Below are 21416 nucleotides of genomic sequence, written 5' to 3' on the forward strand. Positions count from 1 at the left end.
GAGTATATACCTGGGAGTGCATTTTCTAGGTCCTAGAAATATTCATTCATTCATTCACTCATATTCATATTTGTATATGTTCATTTTTAGTAAATAACTGCCAGTGAGTTTTCAAAAGTGTTAGTACCAGTTTACACTTCCACCAACAATGTGTGAGAGTCGTAGTTTTGTTGTATGTCCTCACTAATGCTTGGTGTATTTCATCTTTGTCTTAGTCAATCTGGCAGAGTATAGTGGTATTGCAGTATGGTTTTAATTTTCTTATATAATGTGATGTAGGATTATTATCTCCATATTAAAGTAGAGGATGTGGAGATGTTAAGTAACTTGCTCCAGGTCACAAAACTAGTAAGTGGTAGAGCCAGGATTCAAAACTAAGCAATCTGTCTCCAAAGTCTGCTACCCTGTGCTGCCTCCCTCCTGCCACCTTTGACAGCTTTTTCTTATTTTATAAGAAGATATAAAATATCTTATAAAATAAAATATCTTATACTTTTATTAATGGCAAATGATAGTCATATAAGAAAAGGAAAGGAAGTAGTAACACAGCCTTGAGTTATATTTTTATTTTTTACTTTTGAAATAATCTTTGAGTTATTTAAAATTATTCTAAATCTCATAGTATCTATGCTTTAGAAGACTTAATATACTGTATTTTTAAACTACAGTGCAGATTTTCCTTCTTTGATTCATTCATAATATAACAAATGTGTTTTGAGACCCTGCTGAGGGCCAGGGACTGGTGAATGCAGAGATATACATAGAATACATAGACATAAGACATAATCTCTGCTTTTAGGGGAAAAAATAGTGGTAAGTGACAGATAAGATACAGTGTGGTATTTGCTGTTATTACATTTAAAGGGCAGTTGGAGCATAGAATACTAAGCCTGCTTGAAGGAGGCCAATGACCTCTTATTTTATATTTTAGTCTGTGTCTTTCACTTCAATTAAGTTGGAAATGTAATGCTAATGTTTGAAAATGTTGCTAATACTTGTGTTTGGCTAGAGGCAAGTTTTTTATATTCAGAATTAAGTTTAAGCGTGGCTTAAGGGAATTGTGTTCTTACGCATCTTTAAAACCTCTGTTACCTATGTTTTATCATTACTGCTATTCAATTATTATATTTGAAATGCACTTCTTACTTATGAGCTTTTATATAAAAGTCAGGAGAAAAAGTCCTTACAATTATACTATAGAATCCTTATTTAACAATAATAAAAAAAGTCATAGCCATTACTTCTACAAACTCTCATGAACATGCATTGCATTTATTTTAAATACATACACACACACACACACACACACACACACACACACATTTACTATGGAAACCATTTATAAGACTGATGTTAACAGAGTGAGCAAGCTCAGCATTCTTTCATAAGCCTTCATGATAAAGGAGGTCATATGTCTGATATTATTGTCTGAGTGTACGTAATAATGAATCTTATTAGATGAGGGTTCTACTAAATAGACATTTTCTTTCTAAAAGAAAAAATCATACTCAGTTAGTGCAGTATTTCCTGAAGTGTTATACTCAGGAGCACTCATAAGATGCCCTGTGAAAAAGAGAATCTTGTTGTCAAATAGGGTTTGAGAAGGGCTGTATTGTATACCTTCTTAAGATACACAGTGTATGTTACTATCTTATAAAGACTATGAGAAGTCTTAACTAAATTATTTTAGCTTTGCATCTTCCAAGATCATTTTAACAGAAGTTTTTTTCCTGAGCAAGATCTATTAATATAGGTGCATCTGTTAACATAATGGTCCTCAGGGCACTCTGAAAAACACAGAATTAGAGTGTAAGTTGGAGATTTTGGTTCTGACTTTTTAGGCTTCTTATTCTTAGGACAGAAAATAGCATTTAAAAAGCAAAATTATTGTATTTCACATAATTGAATAGTTAAATTTTTTAAAGAAGTCTGTTTGATTATTGTTATTTCATACTACTTTGGGTAATAAAGCACTGTTATCATATAGTAATATCCTCTGCTTTTATTAGAAAATGAGAATTGGCTGGCAACTTATTTTTACTTGATTATTCAACTATTCTTTATTCATTCAGTGAAAATTATGAATATAAAACATTTCTTGGCATATTATGAGAAGAAAATCTTGAACTGTATAAACTACATTGATTGAAATGAACATAAAGGATTATAATTTTAATCTTAAGAGAAATTTTAACTTAATCCTTAGTCAAGGAGGATGAAAAGAATCGAGTTGTTATGGGCAGTTTTGTGATGTGCTTATCAAGATAACTGAGAAGAACCAGTTATGGGGTTCTATGTGAAAACTGTCTCCAGTGCCTGTAATATACTGTTTGTTATTTTCTGAAAGTTTACTGAACTTCGCCCCACTATAGTATGCTGCAGTATTACATCTGCTGTTTCATGCTATTATAGTGTTCACTGAAGCATTGTCTGCTTTGGTCACTAAGTCTCAGAAATCATAGCTGATTAAAATGAAACTGTATTGTTACTATATACATATATATGTAGACTATATATATTTTTATATATAATCATTTTATATATATAAATGATTTATGTTACGGATCCCAGACACTTTCCTTAGTCATTGTATAATCTGTTCAACTAATTACTTCAGAAATATTAGGACTACAATAAACTAAAAGAATAAGGCATTCTGGCTCAAATACTCTAGTGAAAAAACAGCTTTATGGATTATTTTTTAAAACTAAAAAATTATCTAATACTGAAAATGTACCACACATACATTAATCTTTCTTTGATTAAGAGAATTCTTCTGATTTTTCTTTAGTGTTGCAATTTTATATTTCAAAACTAGAGTTTTCAAGTACTGCAGGTAATAGAAAAATGACTGCTAATTTTTAAATAACTTTTATAGAAGTACAACATACATACTGGATAGTATACAAATCACGTATATACAGATCAGTGAATTTTTACAAAGTGAACACACTTGCGTAACCTCCAGCTAGACCGAGAAACAGAATATTACCAGCATCTCAGAAGCCCCCTTAGGCACACATTCAGATTCTGTCACTCTCATGGGTAAAAACTATTCTGCCTTCTGACATCATAGATTAGTTTTGCTTATTTTTGTACTTTATAGAAATGAAATCATATAGTATATACTCTTTTGTGTTTGGCTTCTTTTGCTTTTCTTTATAATATTCAAGGTGTTGTAGAGAATTATAAATCATTCATTCTCATTGCTGTATTGTAATCTATTGTATGAATATGCCACTATCTAGTATCCTGCTGATGGTATTGATTACATTTTTGGTTATTATCAATGGTGGTGCTGTGAATATTCTTGTACATGTCTCTTGGTGCACATATGTATGCATTAGGGTTTATAACTGAGAGTGGATTGCTAATTATCATAGGATATGCACATATGTTCAGTGTTAGTAGCTATTGCTGGACACTTTTCCACAGTGTTTGTACCAAGTTCTACTCCCACTAGCTTTGTATGAGAAATTCATTTGCTCCACATCTTTTACATTTAGAATTGTCAGTCTTTTCATTTTAGCTATTGTGGTGGTTGTGTATTTCATAGTGGTTTTAATTGCATTTCCCTGAAGACCAATGTGGTTGAGCAGCTTTTCATATGTTTATTGGTCCTTCAGGTCACTCCTTTTGTGAAGAGCCTCTATTTAAGTCTTTTGCCTGTTCGTGTCTGAGAGTCATCTGTCTTTGTCTACCAGGAGTTCTTTATATATTCTGAATAGGAGTCTTTTGCCAGATATATGTACAGCAAATATATTCTTCCACTGTGTTACTTACATTTTCGCTCTCTTAACAGTGCTTTTGATGAACAGAAGTTTTTTTTTAAAAATGTAATATAGTCTAGTTCATGAATCTTTTTCCATTATGATTTCTACTTAAAAAAATCTCATCATAGAATCTTTTAAAATGGCATTTGTAGAGCGAGATTTTTCCTATATAGCAGTAAGGCTTTTATTAGATATGCTTTTATTAGATAGCCAATGGTAGATTGGAGTGGAAGTAGGGTTTTGTAAATGAAGCTGTCAATAAGTTTTGTTTTTCTTTAAGGAAAAAATTAAAGATGAATGAATAGGAACATTTTTGTATTATGAGAAGATGTTTTAACAAAGGGAAAATTCATTCATCAATGTTTTGTTTGATTAAATGCTCATAACTGTTTTAATTTTAAACAAAAAATTGTTTGGCTTTATTATGAGATGTTTTAACAAAGGGAAAATTCATTCATCAATTTTTTTGTTTGATTAAATGCTCATAACTCTGTTTTAATTTTAAAAAATGTAGAAAAAACTTTTTTACATATGAGATATTCTTTAGTTTTCTGTAGAGCCATCTGGCTTTAAAAATCATTAAATGTATCAATACCAGAAAAATGTATCTAATGTTGTTCTAAATGTGATTGCTCATACTCATGTCTAATAATTTTAATTTTTTTTTAATTTTTAGAACTTTTTGAAAATGAACATGTACGTATTGGGCAAAAAGGTAAGCTTTTAATTATAAATGTTATTATTTCTGAAAAGTGAGACAGTCCCAGCTAAATGTCTGCCTCAGATAACCTCCAGGTGAAATTTAATCTCTGAAAAGTGAAAAACCTAAAGAGGGGTAATATTTAACCATGTAGATTACATAATGAGAATCTTTATAAGTAGGGAAAATGCATCATTTTGGCTTTGTCAATAAATGTCAGAGAAAGAAGTACACAGCTGGTTCACTAAAAAGGAAATGCAGACACATATTCCTCAGGGATGTTAGCTTAATCCATTCGGCAGTAGAATTTCATTTTAAAATCAAAGAGGCAGGTTCTGTCTTTGATGCACCCACACACCTCTCATTAGAGTTAATGGGAATATGCTCCCGCATCAGGAGAAAATATAACTGTAATGGTTCCCAGTGACCATTCACAGTGGTGTGGCTTAATAACCAAAGTGGCTTTTAGTATTCTGGGGAATAGTTTTTCCCTATCTTTTGAAGATTCTTTTCCTTGTTTTTATAAATCCTTTTTTGTCTTTGAGATATGAAGTACAGATTGGTCTTTGTGTCAGAATGAACCTTCTATGGCAATTATATTGTCATGTACCAAATCCCTACTTCAATTTTTAAAAATTGTATTTATTTAGAATTTATTTGTATGATTTGACACTTTTATTAAGAGCAATTTCAAATTAAAGAATATGCTTCATCTCTTTTTTATTTCATGATTCCTTTGTTTCTTCTGCTCATGTCATTTTCATTTAATATAAGATTTTTTTTAAGAAGAAAATATAAGAAAACAATACTGGTTAGATAAACATTAGCAGTTGTTTTGATATGTCTTTTTTTGGTTTTGCTTCATTTTGTTTTTTTGGACCTTTATTTCCAGACTGAATAGCTGACATCTTTATTAAAGAAAATAAAAATTAAAATGAAAGCAAAAGATAACATATTGATTGTGTGAACTTGGCTTTTTAAGAATAATTTGAGCCTTCTTGCAAGGTTATGAGATCTTTGTTTCTACGTCTTTGAAAATCCCTGTTTTCTGTTGATTTTGGCAAATAACTAAGAAGTCATTTAATAGAATAGATAGCTAACATTCTTATATATTGTAATTCTTAGGCATGAAACTTCATGTACCATACATTTCCAAATATTAGAACATTCATGATGTAGTAGAATATGCATAAGAAATTTGGGGTTTCCGTAGCTATGAATTAACTTGATAATGGAATCTAAAAATTATTTCATATATATATATATATATATATACACACACACACACACACACACACACACAATACTAGTTTCAGATCCATGGAGCTATAGTTAAAGCAAAGTGATCTCAAAGTCCTTACATTAAGTCCCTCCTTATCCACACTGGGTAGGAGGTGGAAGAGCTTAAGGCTTGCAACTGGGAGGGCTGCAAATAGGGCTGTATTGAAATCCAGAGAATAAATTTTAAAAGGTAAAGATACGGTGTAATTATGTTAGATAGAAAGACTGAATATCAGCTTCCCAAAAGATTTATAATTGAAGATTTCAGTGATGTTTCTTACATTCTGAGTTTTCAAAGGAGATTTTCATATACTTTTGATAGTTCTAGCAGAACAAGATAGTGCTGCTGCTCAACAGTACATCAGACAAGGAAGTCCCACGGCACTGAGAGCTGAATTGTGGGCTCTCATTTTGAATATTTCCAGCCAACCTGAGGTAAGAAGAAAAAAAGGGTGGGTCAGATTTTAGCTTTGGGGTATTTATTTTTCAAAGACCAGTTATTCAAAATTGAAAAAACTTTTGTTTCTTAATCTATTATTAACCCCCTTTTTAAATTTTCAAAATCACTATAGTTTTAGGTTCTAAAATAAGATTTAACATATAATTTAATATTGTCTGCTTAATATTGAAGTTTTTGTTATTAATAATTAATGAAATGGTGTGACCTTACATATACAACAAAACAGTAAGTAAAATTTTGAGAAGTGGAGACTGACAATTTAGATCTGTGAAGATGTGTGGTTGAATACGGATGTTAGACTACGGAGAAATAAAGAAAGGCAACTCAGGTTAAGTAAATGGATTCTTTGTCCCTATAGGTACTTTTGAAATATGCACTATTTTTATGGTTCTAGAAATTGACAGATTAAGTGGGAATGTTATTTTTCTATATGTAAGAACATTTTATTTTAGGAAATATGAATATGAAAAGAGATCACCAGCAGATGGGTAATAGATTAAATAAAGCAAAACTATGTAAGACATTGATTCTTGAAATATTCTTAGTGGGGATTTTTTTGTTTGTTTTTTGCTTAAGCCCATTAATCATAGAAGTTATCCATTTAAAAAATTTTAATGAATAGCACACTAATAGTTTTCTAGCCTGGTGTTTAAAAACATGGGTTTTGGAATCATACAGACCTGATTTCAACTTCTAGCTCACCCAGCTTACTAGAAATATATCATTGAGCAAGTACTTAAATTTCTTCAAACCTCAGTTAACCCACACTTAAATATAGGTAATAATATTTATATCACATAATCGTCAGAATTAAATGAAATAACGTACATGTACTTTTAACATAGTGCCTGGAACATAAATGATCACCATTAATAAAAGTAATCATAAGAGTTACATATTACATTTAATCATGTTATAAATTAATTATAATTAATAATGATGTTTTTAAAGAAAATCAAATATTATTAATATTGTTATAAAAACTATACCTCTAACCCTTGCAAACTATGTATACGTGCATGTGTGTATACTGTGTTTTAAATCTCCCTCTGAACAGTTCTGTCAAAAATCACTTGCTTCCTTTGTGAAACAATAAAGCTTGCAATTTATTTCAGAGCAGTTTTAGACAAATGATATTGCTGACTTTTTATTGTGACACTTTAGAGAAAATAGTTTATAAAATAGTTTTGAGTATATATTGGGCCTTTTTTTGGTGAGTGTATCAATTCTTGTAGAAGAAGATACAACTCTTGTCCTGATCTAACTTTGTAGATGCACTGCCAACTTAACTGTATAGAAATTGTATTAACAAATTCTATCTCTTCGCAGAAGAATCACTGCGATTTCTAAAACAAATTTAGAATATTTCCAGAAGTATCATCCTAATAACCCCACGTAATAATAAAATAATAATCCCAGGTAATCATTTTTTACAGTGTTCAAAAATCATTTTTACTACTTGTAGGTGTTTTCTTGTAAAAAGAAAAAAATTTTTAAGGTGATTTTTACCCTTGAATTTTGGAGCTAATAGCCATCTGAGTTTTCTAATTGCAAAGTGACAAGTCTATTCAATATCTGTAAATAGAAATTAATATTTTCAGGAAAGCAACCCTGATTTTTTTATTAAAGCATCTTTTATCATTTACAGTTAATTTCAGCTATAAAAGTGTGACCCCAATGAACTATAGCAGTTCCAAAATAATTGTTGTAGGTGGTACTTTAGAGAGAAAGAGAGAAGGAAAAAGAATACTACTTCTTATTAGGAATACCTTATTAGAATTTTTTGTTGAATCGCTTTTCAATCACATAAAATAAGCTGCACATATAATTGTAGTCATAGTTGAGGAGTTAGACATAAATGGAAGATTCTACATTTCACAAACATAAAGCTATTCTTTAAAATCTATTTCAATACAAAGACTTTGGATATAATACTTGTGGTTCCTAGTAGTTAATTCTTTTCATACTTTGAATAGAATATTATCTAACTTTCATTTTTTAAAGAAAATCTATGATAGGTTTAAGAAGATTGCTTTTGTATATTTCCTTTTCTACGCATTTCTAGGTATGTGTCAAAATATCCATATTTAGTAAACATTGTTCATATTTTAAAAATTTTTAAATTTCAGTTTGCTAAATTAAAGACAGAAAATGTTCTTCTACTTTTGCTCTAGGTACTTGCTTACTGATAACAATAGCCAAGACTAATATTAACATTTAAGATTTTCTTTAATAATTTCTTAGGAAGGTTCTTACAACCTTACATTGGCTCTTAACAATGCCTGATCTGCCTAGATTTTTGTGGTCAGCTCACTTAGTCTTCACGGTGCCTGTTTCTGACCTTCACTCTCTTCAGTCCCTTCTCTTCAGTCTTAGCAAAATACTTAACCTCCTGATACTTAGAGAAAACAGAAGTCATCATTAGAAATTCATTCAAATTCTTCCTGCCAAACTTGTAAACTTAATTGCATCAGTACCTGGTCCTTTCCTCAACTACTTTTACTTAAATGGAAGAAATGTCAGGCTGGGCACAGTGGCTCAGGCCTGTAATCCCAGCATTTTGGAAGGCTGAGCCAGGTGAATCACCTGATTTTGTGAGTTTGAGACCAGCCTGGCCAACGTGGAGAAACCCTGACTCTACTAAAAATACAAAAAATTAGCCAGGCATGGTAGTGCATGCCTGTAATCCCAGCTACTTGGGAGGCTGAGGCAAGAAAATGTCGTGAACCCGGGAGGCAGAGCTTGCAGTGAGCAGAGATCGCGCCACTGCACTCCAGCCTGGGCAGCAGGGCAAGACTGTCTCAAAAAAAAAAAAAAAAAGAAATGTCTACCTCTTATACCTGTTGTCAGTGTTTAACCTCATTGACTATTCCTTTATTGACATATTCCTTTGCTTTTGTGACACAGTGCTCTTTCTGGCATTCTTCATTTGTGGAGGGTCTTCTTTGTCTTATCAGTTAGGATTCTTGAGGGTCTGTCTCTTCTTCATACATTCCTTAGCAAATATTACAAACTCCCAAAGCCTCAGTTACCAGTTACCTCAAATCTATATGCCTTCTTCTCAGATCTCTCTTTTCTAAACTTTAAATGCAGCTGCTTAGTGAACCTAAGCACTCGTGTATCTCACAAGCACCTCAAATTCAAGATGTCAACACTCTTCCTAAATTCCTTTTTCAGTACCACTGTCCATCAAGGAACCGTAGCCAGAAACCTGGTGTCATCCCTAGCTCCTGAATATCATATTGTATTACTCGATAATTATACTACTCAATAATTCCTTCTTGATTTAACTCCTAAACATGTTTCACTACCACTCTCATTTCAAAATACCATCATTTCTTGCCTGGATTAAAAAAAAACAAAACCTTCTACCTTATCTTTCTGACTTCAGCCTTGTTCCCTATAAATCCTTTTTTTTTTTTTGAGACGAAGTCTCACTCTGTCGTCTAGGCTGGAGTGCAGTGGTGCGATCTTGGCTTACTGCAAGCTCCGCCTCCCAGGTTCACGCCATTCTCCTGCCTCAGCCTCCCGATTAGCTGGGACTACAGGTGCCCGCCACTACACCGGCTAATTTTTTTTTGTATTTTTCAGTAGAGACAGGGTTACACCATGTTAGCCAGGATGGTCTTGATCTCCTGACCTCATGATCCGCCTGCCTCGGCCTCCCAATACCCTGCTTTTTTAAACACTGAAATCTGGTGATATGGTTTGGCTGTGTCCCCACCCAAATCTTGAATTGTACTTATAATTCCCATGTGTCATGGGAGGGACTAGGTGGAGATAATTAAATCATGGGAGCAGTTTCTCCCATCCTGTTCTCATGATAGTGAGTGAGTTCTCACGAGATCTGATGGTTTGGTTTTATAAGGGGTTTCCCCCTTTACTGGGCACTCATTCTCTCCCCTGCTGCCCTGTGAAGAGGTGCCTTCTGCTATGATTGTAAATTTCCTGAGGCCTCCTCAGCCATGTGGAACCGTGAGTCAATTAAACCTCTTTCCTTTATAAATTATCCAGTCTTGGGTATTTCTTCATAACAGCATGAGAATGGACTCATATAGTAAATTGGTACTGCAGAGAGTGGGGTGCTGCTATAGATATCTGAAAATGTGGAAGCGACTTTGGAACTAGTTAACAGGCAGAAGTTGGAATAGTTTGGAGGGCTCAGAAGAAGACAGGAAAATGTGGGAAAGTTTGGAACTTCCTAGAGACTTGTTGAATGGCGTTGACCAAAATGTTGATAGTGATATGGACAATGAAGTCCAGGCTGAGATGGTCTCAGATGGAGATGAGGAACTTGTTGGGAACTGGAATAAAGGGGATTCTTGTTATGCTTTAGCAAAGAGACTGGCAGCATTTTGTCCCTGCCCTAGAGATCTGTGTAACTTTCGTCAGTCGAGAAAAATGACAAGACAAGTCTCAATTATTTTAGGAGGTTTGTTTGCCAAAGTTAAGGATGTGCATCCTGGAAACAGGTCTATGCCTTCTCCAAAGATGATTTTGAGGGCTCCAAATTTAAAGGGGAAAGAGCGAGGTATTGAGAAGTACACAATTTTTATGTAAGAGGTGGGCAGGGAAAAATAGTTATTCATGCCTTTGCCTGGCTCAGCGAAACTGCTTTTTTTTTTTTCAACCTCAGATGACATAGACAAATGGAGTGAGGAAAAATGTGGAGAATCTGCATTTTTATATGAGATAACATAGAAAAAAATGGGACAGGGAAACAATCAGATATGCATTTGTCTGGTGGGCAGGGAGGTGACTGCACCTGTAAAAATAAGCTATCAGCTTACATTGTGGTAGTGAAATTTTAACAGAAACACCTTACAGTAAAGATCTTTGAGCTCACTAGGAATTTCCTTGTGGGTAAAATATGGGGGAGGTATGTAGCTTTTCGTCCTATAATCATCTTTTTTAGGAAACAAAAGGGGAGGCAGTTTTGCATGACCCAGTCCCTAGCTTGACTTTTCCCTTTAGCTTAGTGATTTGGGGACCCCAAGATTTATTTTCATTTCACACTTTGCACTTGAGAGAGTTAATTTAGGGTAAGTATCTGGTGGAAGAAATTTCTAAGCAGCAAAGCATTGAAGAGGTGACAGAGCATAAAAGTTTGGAAAATTTGCAGCCTGACAATGTGGTAGAAAAGAAACACCCATTTTCTGGGTAGAAATTCAAGCTGGCTGCAGAAATTTGCATAAGTAATGAGGAGCCAAATGCTAATTGCCAAGACCATGGGGAAAATGCCTCCAGGGCATGTCAGAGACCTTGACAGCAGCCCCTCCCATCACAGGCTCAGAGGCTTAGGAGGGAAAAATGGTTTCCTGAGCCAAGCCCCGGGCCCCCCTGCTCTGTGCAGCCTCAGGACATGGTGCCCTGTGTCCCATGCTTCAGCTCCAGCCATGACTAAAAGGGGCCAAGATACAGGTCAGGCCACTGCTTCAGAGGGTGCAAGCTCCAAGACTTGGCAGCTTCCATGTGGTGGTGGTCTAGCAGGTACACAGAAGTCAAGAATTGGGGTTTGGGAACCTCCATCTGAATTTCAAAGGATATATGAAAATGCCTGGATATCCAGGCAGAAGTGTGCTGCAGGGATGGAGCCCTCATGGAGAACCTCTGGTAGGGCAGTACAGAAGGGAAATGTGGGTTGGAGCCCCCACACAGAGTCCCCACTGGGGCACTGCCTACTGGAGCTGTGAGAAGAGAGCCACCATCCTCCAGACCCCAGAATGGTAGATTCACTAACAGCTTGCACTGTGTGCCTGGAAAAGCTGCAGACACCCAATGCCAGCCTGTGAAAGCAGCTGTGAGTGGGGCTGTACTCGGTAAAGCCACAGGGGCAGAGCTGGCCAAGGCCATGGGAGTCTACCTCTTGCATCAGCGTAGTTAATGCTGGAATGAGTTGAAACTTTGGAGGACTGTTGGAAGGGCATGATTGTGTTTTTAATTGTGAGGACACGAGATTTGGGAGGGGCCAGGGTAGAATGATATCATTTGGTTGTGTCCCCATCCAAATCTCATCTTGAATTATAGTTCTCATAATCCCCACATGTCATGGATGGGACCAGGTGGACATAATTGAATCATGGGTGTGGTTTCCTCCATTTTGTTCTCGTGATAGTGAGTTAGTTCTCCTGAGATCTGATGGTTTTATAAGGGGCTTCCCCCTTTGCTGGGCACTCATTCTCTCCCCTGTGGCCCTGTGAAGAGGTGCCTTCCACCATGATTGTAAGTTTTCTGAGGCTTCCACGGCCATGTGGAAGTGTGAACCAATTAAACCTCTTTCCTTTACAAATTACCCAGTCTTAGGTATTTCTTCATAGCAGCATGATAATGGACTAATACATCTGATATCTCAGCTCTTCTGGTTAAACACTTTTAAAAATCCTGTATTTTAAACACCTTAACATACTTTCTCTTTACCCTATGTTTGTACATGTTCCATCTACTTTTAAAAAAAATCTTTTTTTCTGCCTTTTCCTTCCTCTCTACTCACTCCTTCTCATAGCACTGTACATTCTCAAGTCTTTTCTATCTTAGGAATAAAAGTAAATCTTAAACCTCATGTCTTTCCTAGCCATCTCTCTCTCCCTTTCCTTCCTTTCACAGCTACACCTGTGAAACAAAATTCTGTGCTAGACTTAATTTTATTAATTACTTGATTGTATTAATATGAGTTAAGTAATGCTGAGTTAATCACTTGATCTCATTAATTACTCAGTTGATTGTAGTCTGACATACACCCACCCCCACTACATAACTACAACTACCCTAATTAAAGTCACCAAGGAATAGTGGACATATTTTAGTTCTTATACCTACAGTATTGATACCAGTGCCTATTTGATCCTTGAAATATTCTTGGTCTTAACTTTAGTTCACCCTGTTTTCTTAGCTCTTCTTTCTCTCGTTTTTCTTTATTTAGTCTCCATTTGGATTTCTCTGCTGGCTCTTAAGTGCATGTATTTCTCAGAATTCCATTTTGATCTTATTCTATTCATTTTCCCTGAACTGTCTCATCCACAAGTCACCTATTCCCTAATGGCTTCAACTCTGTTTTCAATCCAAGAAAGATAATCTAATAGAAAAATAGGTATATGTTATGAATGACAAATCATTGAAATGGAAATTCAAATGGCCAATAAATATATGAAAGATTCTTCAACTATATTGAGTTGGGAAAGTGCAAATTAATACAAAAATGAGATGTTTCTCATGCATGAGAATGTTTAAAAGAGGTGAGTACATAGATAAAATGTGCTCTCGTGTTGCTGGTGGGAATTTGAATTGATTTTTTTTCTGAGATTAGTCAGGCAATTTGTGGCCCAGTTTAAGATACATAGAGCCTTGGCCGGGCGTGGTGGCTCACACCTGTAATCCCAGCACTTTGGGAGGCTGAGGCGGGCAGATCACCAGGTTCAGGAGATGGAGATCATCCTGGCTAACACGGTGAAACCCTGTCTCTAATAAAAATACAAAAAACAAAAAAAAAAATCAGGCGGGTATGGTGCTGGGCACCTGTAGTCCCAGCTACTCGGGAGGCTGGAGCAGGAGAATGGCGTGAACCCAGGAGGCAGAGGTTGCAGTGCACCGAGATCGTGCCACTGCACTCCAGCCTGGGCGACAGAGTGAGACGCCGTCTCAAAAAAAATATATATATATACAGCCTTCAGTCTATAATCCTGCCTTTGCCAATTTATTCTGTAGATATAAAAACATAGTGCCTAAGGATATTTATTACAACATTATTTGTAGGGACAAACAACCTGAGTATCCATCTATAGGGATATGATTAAACAAATTGTGACAAATCTATACCACAGCTTTAAAAATATTAAAATGTATGTAACTATTAAAAAGAATGAGTTAAATGTGTATTGTTTAACAAGAAGGAAAACCATGATATGGCATTAGGTTAGAGAAGCTGAATAATGACTATGATATGATTCCATTTCATATTGAAAAACAACAACACAAACGCCCAACTATGATTACATAGTCATATAAGCATGGAGATAGGTATAAGCATGGAAGAATACAAATTACAAATAACACCACAAATACAATACCAAATACAAATAATATTAATTATTTTGGGACAGTTGAATGGAAGGAAAAAGGATGTTTAACTTTTTCTTTATTTTACTCTAGATTGTTTCACTTGTTTTAATGGTCATATATTAGTTTGTAATTTTAAACTTATTTTTAAATAGAGGCAAACCCCTAAACGTAGCTTTTGCATTACTCTACTTATGACAACTGGCAGGAATTGATATTTGAATTAGGTGCTGTTTCTACCATTAAGGAGCCTGCATTCTAGCCAGAGAGATAGATTCGGTAGATACAATGGAATATAAATAAAATAGTAAAATAATTTTGCTTTAGTTAAAAAATGAAAACATCAATAAGGACCAATTAAGGCTTTTTAATTAAAATTTAAATGACTAAAAATAGCCAGTAAATGCCCTGATCATCATTAGGCAAAGAGCACTTTGACTCAAGCCAAAGAACTATGTATTAAACATCTTTTGCAATGAAGAAATCATATTTCAGGAAACACAGAGTCAGATTTTATCCTGGCCAGGCAGCTACATGCAGTAAATATTCCTCCTTGTCTCAGACGACCCTATCCCACAACTCTTCTGTGAGGTCAGGAGGAGTCATACAGATCCGCTGTCCTAAATTGCCTTTGGGTTTGAGAGGAGGCTAGGGCTAAAGTGCCTGAGAGGTGAAAGGAGGGATTTGGAGCAATACACATGTCAGCTAAAGCAACGAGACACTATTTGCATCTCTTGTTAGCATAACTATTACCCAGTTGATCCCTACCTTCATCCTTAATGCCCTGACCAACTATGAACCTGATGCTTAACTTGATTACTGTCTCTAGTCCCTCCTCCCCCTTCTTCCTTTCCTCCCTTATTCTCTCCACTTTCCATTTTCCCTCTTTTCCACTTCTTATTCTCTATTACATTAGCCTAATCTCATCGTTGTGCAGTTAATCAGATTTTATAGTATTATGTGGCCATATTCTTGTATTTATTTATTTATTTATTTTAGAGACTGGGTCTCAGTCTGTTGCCCAGGCTGGAGAGCAGTGGCTCAATCATAACTCACTGTAACCTCAAACTCCTGAGTTCAAGCATATGGGACCATATTCTAATATTAAAAGCTGACTTTATATCCTATATGATTGCTTTTACTACCAGGAGTTCTTTGTTATGCTTAAACTTTTTATTTTGTAATAATTTAGATATTAGAAAGGCAGTATAAAGTAATCCTTCTGAGTTTTTTGTATAGGTTGTGGGGCCAGGTTTCTTGAGGTTAAATGTTACTAGCTTTATGGCCTTGGATAGCAAGTTACTTTTCTCTCTTGGCTTCAGTTTCTCAAGCATAAATGGGAATAATAATCACTGACCTAATTCATTTTGTTGGTTTGGGATTAAATGAGTTAACTCTTGTAAAGTGGGTAAAATAGTGCCTGGCACCTGTAAGTACTTAATAAATACTGTATTTGCTATTAAAGTTAAATTATAGTTAACTTAGCAAATATTGACGGAATACTCACCAGGTGCCAGATGTTATCCTAAGTGATAGAAGTAAGTATATTTGTTGAACATCTACTATTAGTCAGGCATGAGGGTTATAGTAGTGCCTAACACTGAGTTCCTGCCCTTCTTAGTGTTTAGAATACTATTATTATTTGAGTTTAAGGCTGACTTTATAAATGTGATTGACCTTTAATTTTTTTGTTTTACTTTTAAATTTAGGATGTCTTGTATTATGAGCAGCTTAAGACCAATGTGATACAACATGACCTTTTGGTGGACAGTCTAATCTATAAAGTAAGTAAAAGTCAGCTTAGTTTTTCCTTTTCATTAATATAATTTAGAATTGAGATTCTTCAGTATGCAGAGCCTGTGCTATGTATGATATATATTAACCTTGAAAAATAATTTTAAGTGATTAGATTTATACATATAAAGTTAAAGTTGGTGTTCAAAATTTGCAGTTTGCATTCTCTGTTATCTTCTTTCCCTTTGAAGCTGTCTTCATGATTCTTTCCTAGTCCTCCTATTTTTTGATTAAGATAAGCATTTCTTATATCTCTAAATTCAAGCTTTCTACACAAACCAAGTAAAAAGGCAACTGAAAAGCAAAACCGGATTATAATATTTTTATCTTATGATTCTTTAGGGCCCACTTGTTTATTTTCTTTATATTGAAGTCATTTTTAATTTTTAATTTCTTTTAGTTTCTAGACATATGGCTAAGTATATCTCAGGTTTTAAGGTAGAGACACATTGAGTTTTTGCCTCCAAGCATCTGATAATCAAGTTGAGAGCTGAGTTAACGCTTTCATCACTGAGCCAAACAGGGTCCATTTTCCAGTACACAATAGAAAGCCAAGCACCAAAGCACTGGGTTTTTGTAGCTAGAAAGGTTTGATCGGACTGGATCCTGCCATGGGGTGATGCCAGGGCTTGATCTGATTGAATCCTGGATACTGCCATGTGGTGTCCACTTCTTAATTCAGACCCCACTCTTTAGTCCTGTCACATAGGTTCCACCTGTGGTTGCGTGCTTGGTTCATCTGGCCATGCTCAGGTTACGTGACCTTCAACCTGGAGGTCCATGGCAACTGAAAAACAGCTCATAACTGTGTTACATAGAAGTTGAACCAGATTGGTCTGGTGTAGCTAACACTTTATGTGTAATATAGGATATGAATAATTCTGAATTAATATTAGGCAGTTTAAAAGTCTTAGATTTAAAATTTAGATTTGAAATATAAGAGAGAAAGGCATATTATTATAGGTCTCAGAAATGGGAAAAAGAAGATTACATATTGAGGACCTGAAAATGTGTCTGAGTAGAACATGGCCAGGGGTAATAATAACTATTACTAACAAATGACTGCTTACTGTGCCATATAGTATTCCAAACCCTTTACATAGATTACTATTTAGTGCATACAACTACCTAAGAGTAGCAGATACCAACATTTAGGCTATGCATTATAAATGTATTGTTTTTCTGCGGAAAAACTTGCATTCTGTAAAACCACGCTTTGAAAATAACAGAGCTTATGGGCAAAACAGGGTTGGGGTAGACCCACTCAAAATTTTTGCAACTTTGTAATCAGAGTACTAACAAAAGCAATCATTGGTGGCCTGGGAGAAGAATCAGACAGCTCAGGCAGGCTACTCTGGTAGGAGCTATTAAAAATGTATAAAAATAATAAAACAGAAATGCTAAAATAATGCAAGTGGAAGTGGTGCTCTGGGCCACTGGGGCTACTGTTAAGGTGTGCACAAGAGAACAGCAGTGAAGAAATGTGCTGGGCTGGGAGCGTGCCTCTCTCAAGAGGAAGCCCCAGTGCCAATGCCTGTTTTTAATGTTCTTAAAAAGCAACTGTAAAGTCTCATGCCTGTGCAGCAGCAGCTGAGCTGAAGACATTTTTTTTCCTGCTGTTGGTTATAATTCTCCTCCCTCTGCTCCAGCTCCTCTTGCTTAAGAAAAATTGCATCTGAACCAATACAATTTCCATGTTATACTAACATCATTTCCTTACTTACCAGCAACATAGTGACACATGTGTGATAACAAAGCAGAAAGTAGTTATGGAAATTGAGATAAAGAAAGAAATTTGTTTAAATTAACATGTGAAGTAGTGAAGCCAAGATTTAGACCTAGCCAATCTGACTTCAGAACTGTATTCTTAACCACTAAGCTCTACAGTAAGTGGAAATGAGAGTTTAGAGGATACAGTCCTTTGATGGAAAGTCTTGTATTTCACAGAGGTTTTTCACTAGATTTGGATCACAGGTACTACTATTAAGTTTGAGGTCAAATTATTATGCTCAGTGGATTATTTTATCAAAAATGTAAGAGATCTTTTGGCCTGTAAGACCATTAGCCTCTTTTCTAGTCAAATGAGAGGAAACTCACACGTGAAAAAGCTAAAAAAAAGTAAGGAGTGCTAGGATGAGAGTTCTCTTTGTCACCAAAACAAATTTCAGTTTGAGTCAGTAAAGAAAATTTGTTCCAAGAAGGAAGTAATTTGTGCCTGAGGAATTGGATGAAAGTTTTAATGGCATCTAAGCTGTGCGCAACGTGAATGTTTTTAGGAAGATATCTGTCTCTGGTTATTTTTGACTTAGTTGGGCTCTGCCAATCACTCCAAACATTATTGAAGTCAGCCGTTAAGGGAATGATCATTTAAAAAAAAAAATCCCTGTTATTACAGCTCCCTATAGCAAAAACTTATTTTAAATTTAACTGAAAACAAGGTGGAATTCTTTTAAAGGTTAAAGGAATGAATGGAACAAGGCAATGTTACAAAATCCATGGTCAAATAGCTCAAACAGTCTACAAAATTCAACCAGGCTGTTGAGCAAAGTAGCAATCGGGGAGGATGGAAAGTCATAGATGTTCTGAGCCAATGATGTTGTGAGTACAGAACATCATTGAACCCTCCCTAAGCTAATTTATTAAATGGTTTTGTGTTTTGTTTTTTTTTTTAACAAACTTGCCTTGTATCCATACTTTCTATAGTTTTCAACCATTTACTATAATCTGATAATTTATACTAGTGTTTTTCAACCTTTCTTCATTATCACGCTCCTGGAGAGAAAGATTAATTAACTTCTCTCTAATAAGAAAAAGTAAATAACAAAAAATAAGATTTGGATGGGTAGGGATGAGCTCTGGTCGGCCACATACCATTGTAATATGTAAAATTTGTTGACCTCCAGGAACCAGTTTTCATGCCCACAGAGGCAATAGTATCCCCCTGTTGAGAATGCATGATCTCTACCTTTGTCTGGGTTGTCTTCTGACATAAAAGGCTGGACTGTTTCTTTCTCCTTAATCTGTGTCATTATGGTTTTTTCAGAGTTAGCACACATTCGCTAACCCCAGAGTCATCTATGACTCTTTCCATCCTCCCCTGATTGCTACTTTGCTCAACAGCCTGGTTGAATTTTATAGACTGTTAGAGCTATTTGACCATGGATTTTTGTAACATTTCTTTGTGATTTTCCCATGTTTTTACTATCTTGCCAGTGAGATTGTAGACTGCTCGATGGTAAACATTTATTATTTGTCTTCTTTTTTGTTTGTTTGTTTGTTTTTTGAAGTTTTGATTTTTGTATCCTTCATCCCAACCAATCAATCAGTACTTGTTGAATTGATTATATATTGGGTCTAAAAGCATGGTATAGTTACATCTGGAGATTTTGGATACATGTAAGGTTTGGGATCTATATTTACTTATAAATAGATGAACACTATTATAAGTAAAAGGGCTTTTGGTGAATTTTTTTAAAAAAGCTTTCTGGATGTTTACTCTTTATCTGATACTGTGCTAGGCATTTACCCATCCTTTCTGAAGGAGGCAGTGGTATCCTCATTTATGGATATGGAGATCTAGCCTCAGAGTTACTGACCAAAGTCATACAGCTAAAAGTAGTGGAACTGGATTTCAAATCTTAGTTAAATCTGTTGGAATTTTATGTTCTTTACACTGAAGCACACAAGCAGCAGTTTCCAACTCTGGACATAATATTCAGAGGCAATCCTGGGGGAAACACAAATGCTTTAGTTCATTTTTCTAGACTTTTGTTCATTTGTTTGCTTGTTATTGGAGGGGTACCTATATACTTATGAATTATATCACAGGAAAATATAATTAATTTCTATTAATAATTTTATCATATTTATTTTTACTCACTCATCAAATATGTATTGGGTATTTAGGTGCTAAGCACTGTGGTGGTACTACGTATACAAAAAACATTTAAGATGTTGGAGCTCAAAGTGGCTAAAGTGTCATAGGGAGGCTCATAGAAATCATTAAGGTAGACTCAAGTCAGAAAGTGAGAATAGGAATATATTTAAAGAAGGAAACTAATATGCTATCCAGGGGAAGTCAGTGAACTGGCCCTTAAACTCATAATACAGAAAATCAACATTCTTGCTCTCTCAGTAACAAGTGGTGACTTGCAAGTGAATAATCACAAAGGCATGGAAGATATTTGGTCTTTTGTGGGAATGGCAAGAATTTGGACTTGAACAGTGAGATTGGAACAGTAATTTGGGGCCAGATCGTTATGGTTGCTTCTGGATGTTATGATTGCATCCGCTTTTCTTTTTTAGCTTTAAGCCATCTAAATATTAGATTAAAAGGAGATAAAATTGAAATAAATATTAAAGAATTACTAATGGGACCTTAAAAAGTATGAGGAATTCGAGTTCAAATAATGTGTCACATATATTAGTTCAGTAAATACATAGCAATGATAAAATTTAATTGAGAAGTTTATAATCATAAAGTAATAAATTTATTGCAGTAGTGCTTCTAAATACATGTGTATGCTTTAGTACTACAGACAGATCTGTTTGAGTTCTTTTCAGTACTGTCTACTTTTAATTATAGGATGTGAAGTTGACAGCAAGCAATGATGATTATTATTTTGTATTTGAAGATTATTTATATCAGGTAAGTTTAAAAATAAAAATACATAGTGTTCTTGTTTTAGGTTCTCTATATCATGATACTTTAGGAGATATCTCTGCTGTTGACTAAATCTTTTTGTAATCCATGGCATGCTTGTCGGATGAAATGTTCTAAGTTTGGGATAAGATTACCTTTTGTTTTTACTGTGAAATTAGATAGGAGAATAAGAGTTCCCAATTGTTTCTTTTTGTCATATATGGTACATCAAGGAGGTATTATTGGCAGGTAAGTTTTCTATCTTTGTTATTGGCATAGATGCTTAAATCAGATGTCAAATTCTTATTTAAGCCATTCCAAGATGTTTGGAGAAAGCATTTTGCATTATACTTTTAAAATTAAAGATATTGAAAAAATAATGTTTCAAAATCAATTTGGAGTGTCGTGATTATCCTTTGATCATTTCATTTGCAGATATTGTGGATGCTTGGATTCTTACTTTTTCACATCTAGAATAAAATCATTTATCATAAATAGAAAATATGTAATTTATATAGAATTGCTTACATGATGTTCTTTTTTAAAAAGATATGTACATATTAATAATTTGATTTTGAATGAATGTCAATACAAATGTCATAAAGGAAATACCTAGATTCTACACAGCAATTTCTGCTTGATTAAATGTAAATTGGTCCCTGCTGTTTGTATGAGCAGGTTTTTGTTTGAAAATGGTATTGTGGTGTATATGTG

General features: G+C 34.7%; 1 protein-coding gene across 19 annotated transcripts in view; it reads left to right on the forward strand.

Annotated features, from left to right (window-relative positions):
• The window catches only part of TBC1D19 (TBC1 domain family member 19), a 282243-nt gene that overhangs the window by 91023 nt on the left and 169804 nt on the right, over positions 1-21416 (forward strand). For all 19 annotated transcript variants that reach the window (XR_007057937.1, XR_001741277.2, XR_007057936.1 and 16 more), the window contains 4 exons: positions 4450-4488; positions 6077-6189; positions 15976-16050; positions 20646-20708. Coding sequence is in view for 10 of the 19 variants with exons in the window: in XM_047415904.1 (XP_047271860.1) it covers positions 4450-4488; positions 6077-6189; positions 15976-16050; positions 20646-20708 (290 nt within the window). In the remaining 9 variants the exon portion in view is untranslated. The remainder of the gene's footprint in view (positions 1-4449; positions 4489-6076; positions 6190-15975; positions 16051-20645; positions 20709-21416) is intronic.

This window comes from Homo sapiens, chromosome 4 (assembly GCF_000001405.40).
Source record: "Homo sapiens chromosome 4, GRCh38.p14 Primary Assembly".
Lineage (NCBI taxonomy): Eukaryota > Metazoa > Chordata > Mammalia > Primates > Hominidae > Homo > Homo sapiens.